At 40.2% G+C, this 7563-nt stretch overlaps 1 annotated feature.

Annotated features, from left to right (window-relative positions):
* Positions 3143–3733: an enhancer, noted in NCBI's record as "OCT4-NANOG hESC enhancer chr13:107638300-107638890 (GRCh37/hg19 assembly coordinates)". NCBI's record gives its function as "activates a minimal SCP1, AML or CMV promoter by ChIP-STARR-seq in naive H9 embryonic stem cells {active_cell/tissue: H9 hESC(naive)}" and the evidence as "EXISTENCE:reporter gene assay evidence [ECO:0000049][PMID:30033119]".

Raw genomic sequence — 7563 nt, 5'->3', positions numbered from 1 at the left:
TGAGAGATAATTATCTCATCCTAAGTGTATTGCTACAATGACTTCCAGTAGTTGTTTGTTGTTGTTGTTGTTGTGGATTTTTTGTTTGCTTGATTGGTTGTTTTGTTGTTGTTCTTTTGTTTTGAGACAGTGTCTTGCTCAGTCTCCCAGTCTGGAGTGCCATGGTACAAATAAAGCACACTGCAGCCTCAAACTCCTGGGTTCACACGATCCTCCCACCTCAGCCTCCTGAGTAGCTAAGACTACAGGCATGCACTACAACCGTGTCTGGCTAATTTTTGTAGTTTTTTAGAGACAGGGTCTCACTATATTGCCCTAGCTTGTCTCAAACTGGCCTCAAGTGATCCTCCCTCCTGGGACCCCTAAAATATTGGTATTACAGGTGTGAGCCACTGTCCCCAGCCTGAGTAGTTTTTATATGAATATCTATGCTTAAACTGAAACACGTATATGCATGTGTGTGTATATATATATGCATGCATTGTGTAGTCATTTGTATTAATATGTGTGTATGTGATATATATGTGTATATGTATATATTACACATATCTGCATGTGTATCATACATAGCATACATATTCATGTAAGCACACACGTATTGCATCTGTGATGTCAACAAAAGATTTTGCTAGCCTGTTTCAGTCTCTGAATTGCTTGTGATTTATAATATGGAGAATGACTACACAGTTGGATAGTGGAGAAAGGGAGCTCTTAAAAAGTGTTACTGAAAATTAGAAAATGGCTTCTCTTCAATGTTCTCTGAAAAATGAAATCCCTTTTTATCTACCGCTTGGCAGCTGAACTCCTTTTTTGAATTCCAATACATGCAAAGACTATGCCACGTGGCTGCTTGGCTCTTATTTAGGATAATATAGAAATATGTCACCAAATAGTGTTGGCCTGGTCAGGTCCGTTCCCATATGTACCGCTTTCCAAATGACATGGTTTCCTGCATTGAGTGTGACTTTCAAGAAAATATTTTATAAATAGGAATTATTTAAACTGTGAAGTAGTTTGTAATACAAAACTAGGTATTGTTTTGTATTGTCTCTGTATCAAAGGTAGATACAGAGAAAAAAGTACAATGAAGATATTGTATTCCCATCACCACCACTACCAGAACGACAATAAGAGCCATGCCAAGTAAAGTCAACAGAATGGCAATGGGTTTTCACAAAAGACTCACCCCAGCTCCAAACATGGACTGGAATCTGCATCAGAGGTCAGTGCTGCCATCTCTGAGTGACCACAGAGTGCCATTCCATCTTCCCATGGCCACTGGAGCCTTGCCATCTATATTTTGAGATGTTCACAAAAGAGTGGGAAAATATTTTCTTCTCATTTCCAGCAGGAAGTAATTTCTGTAAGTGATTGACTATCTTAAACAACCCTCATTCTAGAATTCACATTTACATAAATGCGTATCTCTTTATAAAATGGAATATCTGGTCAGACTGTTTTACAAGTTCAATTCTCATGATCTTCAATGACCTTGGAAAGGAAAGCATAAGACTAGAGGGTCTTTTTGGGATATAGTGTTCCTTAACTGTGGCTTATTAACTTCTAAAATTACTAAGATGAAGAAAATCTTGGAATATTTCCCAAAGGTACTCATTCTGTGCTTTTCAAAGTTCAAAATGTGGCTACATGATGAAATCTAAGACATAACAAATGATTTGCAAACTTCATGAAAGGTTTTTCCAAATTAAATTATTACATGGTTCTTTTTGTAAAAAATAGATGCAGGTGGTAGGTTTCTTTACAAGTTACCTGAGAAACGGTTTCCTGAAGCCGACCAAGCAAACCACTCCCCTACTATTTTGCACCAATTCTAAATCATGTGGGCGTCCAGACTGGGTGAGGGCGAGAGGAGCAGGAGAATACGAGATCAAAGCCTGTGCATTATAGGAGAAAATGCTTTTTCTCTGTGGCTTTGAAAATCTCTTTTTAAAGGGATCCCCTCCCCACTTACTTTGGGGTTTGGCATATGGTGTGTGCTACAGATGGATGAGCAGTGATGCAGCTGTTGGGGATCTGGCACCCTGGCTCTGGAGCGCTCCTGCCAGCTGGCCGGCACACCCCGGGCTTATAGCATGAACCGATTCCTCCCAGCTGTTATGCAAAAGAAAGTGGAGAAATGTTGTTGTTCACCAATTTTCCGTCTAAGCCATCTTAGTTTAAGCTCAAGCCCAACAACAACAAATTCCCCAGAAGGCAACTTTTTATGGTACAGCATGCTTCTTCCAAGTTATGTATAATTGTGAATGCGAGGTTACATTTGGATAAGGTTAAAAGACTGCGGAAGTACTCATTGCTGCAAGCTGTGAATAATGTATGAAAGGAGAAATCTCAGTCCCAGCTATGGGGATGTGTGAGTGTGCCACAAGCACCCAACGTGAGCCCATGAGGGCTGGTAGCCAGGAAATGCATTGCGCTGGCATGCCCTGAAGACAATACGAGAAGATCTACCTTACTCAGCCAGCTTGTTCCAGATGAAAGATAGCAACAAACAGTATTTATGGTAATATTTAAAAAAAAAAGAGCGTTGATAGGTGCAGCAAACCACCATGGCACATGTTTACCTATGGAACAAACCTGCACATTCTGCACATGTATCCCAGAACTTAAAGTAAAATATATTTTTTTTTAAAAAAAAAGAGGTCTGAAGCAAGACTCCATCTCAAAAACCAAAGTCTGAATTTGACCTGAAATCCAGACAGGAGTCTGCACATTTCAAAAGACCAGAGGTGTTGCAAGAACAAATTTTATCTGAAGGCTAGTGATGCGGGGAACAGGAGATGAGATGGCAGAGGCTTCCGGGAACATCATCAGCCGGTTATCTCAGAAAGTGCAAAGGTCATATTGCCTTTTAAAAATGTGGAGTAACCATCAGAGCATTTTGTATTTTTTGATGAAGATGATTTTTTTTAATGAAGACGTTTTGTTTGTATTTTTTTATGTTTTGAACTTCTATCTTTCTTTTGAAGGGCCACTGGCTAGCTAACTTTGAGCGACACTGGAGGAGAAAATGGTCTGCTTTGTGACCCCTGCTAGTTCCATAAAGGAACTTACCAGGCACCCTCACCCACACCAGCCTAAGCTTACTCATTACAGAACATTTGTTCTATGTGCCTGGTAGATCTATGGGGCTGGGAGAAAAAAAAAAGAGAAGGAGAATATTTGACTGAAATATGGGATGTTTGTAAGAGTCTCAGAAACAGGACTGAGACACTGCCAGGGCATGTGTAGAGGAACTCAGATCTTGGCTTCCGGACAGGAGTGAAGAAGCGAGCCCGCAGGACATGTGGAGGTGTGGCTTTGCCACAGAGGCACAGGCCACCAAGCAAACCTCCCATTAGCTCCGCATTGTTGTTGGCTGAGATAGTTGCTAATTGAGCTCTCAAATCCAACATCCATGACAAAGCCTAGAAATCACTGGGTCCTCCAACAGGTCCACCAGAGCAAATGGAAGGGAATGCGAAAGAGAACCCTGCATGTTTCACAGAGGACAGCATGCTTCCAGCCTGCTGCAGAGCTATTTGTGATTCATTAGCCGGCAATCTCTTGAGATTTGACAGGCCTTTTTATCTTTCCCCAAGCTGCAACAAAAAGCAATCATAAAACCGAGATGCACACTGTCCATGACTAGGGAGAAGGCAGTGTTACCAGTTGCATAATTATCATACAACGTAAAATGGAAAACAGATAAGAAACCGTTTTATAATTTGCAAACACCAGGAGCTAGTTGTTGAAAGGAGGAAGGAAAATAAATGAATGAATGTTGATTTTCCTCTGAATATCATAATTGTGAAATGCTTTAATTAAACAGAGTTATAGAGAAAATAAATAATATTTTTAAAATGGTATTTTTCTGAAGAAATAAGGAAACATTAAAGAACAAAAATTTTCATGTAATACGCACTGTATTTTCGCAATTCATCTAGGACCCTTGGATATAACACTTTCAAACACTCTCTTTATCTCCCCGGCTGCCAATTTTATCACAAGTAGAAGTAGTGCTTTAGGAAATAACAGCACATTGGCTAATAAACACTGTCTGATTCAGTGATTTATTTTCTTCAGAAGTTATAGCTGTGTTCAAAGTGATATCCAGTGAAGTGTCACACATTAATTTAGAAATATATCAACAGGAAAATTTATCTGTGAACTCTGGAATATCACTAGTTACTGTAAAAACACTCTTTTTTCCCTCTATCGACAGCAACAATAGCAGCAACATACCTCACAAATGTTACTAAATACTCAATAAAAAGCATATGTTAATCACCTTCTATGTGCAGAGTACTGTGCAAAGCAATAAGGCAGGGTAGGGGGTGGTGGTGGGAAGAAGGAGAGGAAGAAAAAGAAAAGCCAGCTGTAAGGAGTTGTCTTTCTGTTACCAATAATCTTATTCCATCAATGCTTAACAAACTTGACTGTTGATTGAAGTCAAGGGTTTCTTTGTGGGGGCAGAGCAGAGGGTAAACCCATTAACTTTTTCAGATCTGATTGGTGTAGATGAAGAGGAGTAAAGATGCTGAAAGGATAGGTGGAAGTAAGTTTTGCCTGTTATGGCTCATGGTTAGTAAATGTATGAAAACATTGAAAGAAATAGGCCAAGTATATTATTATTTTAGTTGTAAGAAAAAAAAATTTCTAAAGAGCTATTCCAAAAAGTGAGCTACCTGGTCTTAAGATTTTGTTTCTCATACAATGGTCAAATGCATGCAAGTAATTGGACCATGCATTAGTCCATTCTTACACTGGGTAATTTATAAAGAAAAGAGGTTTAATTGACTCACAGCTCCACATGGGTGGGGAGGCCTCAGGAAACTTACAGTCATGGCAGAAGGGGAATCAGGCATGTCTTACATGGCTGCAGGTGAGAAAGCACGTGTAGGAAGCCAAGGGGGAAGAGCCCCTTATAAAATCATCAGATCTCATGAGAACTCACTCACTATCATGAGAACCGGATGAGGAAAACCACCCCCATCATCCAATCACTTCCCACCAGATCTTTCCCTCAACACCTGGGGATTACAATTCAACATGAAGAGTTGAGTGGGGACACAAAGCCTAACCATATCAGACCATGTTGTATAATTTTGGTTGCATTGACCACTTTGAAAATTATGACCAAAAAAATCATAGCTCATCAATTAATCTCCTACCTTCAAAGAGACAATGCTCCCTCACCTAGGTTTCTTTTGGCAGTTTCCCTTTCTCTACTGCTGAAACCCAGGAGCAGTTTGCCATGCCCTTATTCAAGAACAATTGTTCTGGAAATCAACATTATATTGTTAAGAGAACCCGAAAATATAAGTAAAATAGAGGCCGAAATAATTCTCAAGGCAGCAGAGGGCTATGAGTTATAGACCGTGTCTGTTACCATGGCAAATCCATTTTCCTCTACAAATGTAATCCCTTTTATTTTGAGAAACAGATTCTCAGGGCTAACTAAAGCTAACCACTGTTTGCCAAACTCATTGCAAGTATCTCTCCCTTCATACTCTTACCATGGCAATTCCCTACAGTGTCTGTGCTAGGGTTGTCGCGCGCATTAAATGAGATTGTTTAGGTGCATTCAATGAGGCTGGGTGCAGTGGCTCACACCTGAAATCTTAGCACTTCGGGAAGCTAAGGCATGCTTGAGCTCAGGGGTTTGAGACCAGCCTGGGCAACACAGAGAGATAATGTCTTTACGGAAAGTAAAAAAATTAGTTGGGTATGATGGCACTTGCCTGTAGTCCCAGCTACTTGGTGGGGCGGGGGTGAGAGGATCACTTGAGCCTGGGAGGTAGAAGCTGCAATGAGCTGTGGGTGACAGACCAAGACTCTGTCTCAAAATAAAGAAATAAATAAAAAACAAGATCACACACATGGCCATGGCCACAAGGACTGGTACATAGCTAGCTATCAATTAAGATTAGCATTTGGCAATAAATATCTTGTGTCCCAATTCTTGTCCCAACTTTTCCATGTGTCTTCTCTGAACATTCTAAACCATTGTGATCGATTCTTATGAAAAGGAGGCAGACCTTCCAAATAAATCTTATTTGGTTGCCATTCTGTAAAAAAGTGATTGTTTCATTCTTTCCTAAGTGTGGATACCAGAATAGTAGCTATACACCCAGTTCAAAGTACAGCTCTCTGATAATAACGGAAGTACTGTTTTGAGCTGAGCATCATACATGACAAGAAAGTTGAGAATACTGGAACAGTATGTGAAGCATATTAAGCAATATACTAAAGGATAAATACATGTCCAGCCACTGATGAAATCCTCAGCCTTAAGAATGTCTTTCTTCTAGCCTTGGTTCTACTATTAGTTCTCAGTGATCTTGTGACTTGGTCAAATTCCTAATTCAAGGTGGATGTGTTCACTGTAGAGCAGTGGTCCCCAACCACTTTGGCACCAAAGACTGGTTTCATGGGAGACAATTTTTCCACAAACTGGGGCTGGGGGGATGGTTTCAGCATGATTCAAGTGCATTACATTAAGTGTGCACTTTATTTCTAATTATTACATTATAATATATAATGAAATAATTAAACAACTCACTACCATGTAGAATCAATGAGAGCCCTGAGCTTGTTTTCCTGCAACAAGATGGTCCCATCTGGGGGTGATGGGAGACAGCGACAGATCATCAAGCCTTAAATTCTTGCAAGGAGCATGCAACCTAGATCCCTTGAAAGCACAGTTCACAATAGGGTTCGCACTCCTATGAAAATCTAATGCTGCCACTGATCTGACAGGAGGCGGAGCTCAGGTGGTCATGCAAGCAATGGGGAGTGGCTGTAAAAACAGATGAAGCTTCATTCACTCACTTGCCTGTTGCTCACCTCCTGCTGTCTGGCCCTGTTCTAACAGGCCACAGACCAGTACTCGTCCATGGCCCAGGGGTTGAGGACCCCTGTTTTAGAGGATACTCAGTCTGCCTACCCTCTCAAAGTTGTCTCCAAAGTAGACAAATCTCAATCTCACCTCCCGTATTTCCATGGTTTCAGCACTTTTTCTTCCTAATTTCTGTTTGATATATTATTGAAGTTCCAGATAAATTACTTCTAATATTAGGGCCCTCTGTAAAAATATCTGCTACAAAGAGACAAAATAGTTGGGCACATTTTTACAGAATTTTCTAGTTTGGGCAGAGACAGAATCACTCCGGGGTGTAGTGTTAACTGGGAAGTTTCCCTGGTTCCCTTGAAGTCTTTCATTGTGTGAGTGTCATAATTCTTTCCTGCCTCCCCTCCAACTTAAGCAATCCACTTCTCCCACTGCAGAGTCAGAAGTTAAAAGCTATCATTTTGCTACTTGACTGACATTTGTCTATTTTAAGTGCTTTAATCTCACTCAAATTTAGTAAAGTCTATCTACCATGTAGTTTATTATTCATTCATTTGTTTATTCAACAAGCACTACTTCTATAACTACTCCGCATCAGGCAGTGTTCCTGGTCTAGGGACACAATAGTAAACAAAAAAAAACAAAAATCTCAGCTCGTGGAAACTCAGTTGACTGAAGAGCAACAGGCAAGAAGATAAAAAGTAAATGTATAG

Source organism: Homo sapiens, chromosome 13 (assembly GCF_000001405.40).
Source record: "Homo sapiens chromosome 13, GRCh38.p14 Primary Assembly".
In the NCBI taxonomy this organism is placed as follows: domain Eukaryota; kingdom Metazoa; phylum Chordata; class Mammalia; order Primates; family Hominidae; genus Homo; species Homo sapiens.
The sequence above is the reverse complement of the archived record's forward strand: the minus strand, read 5'-3'. Positions and strand labels throughout refer to the sequence as shown.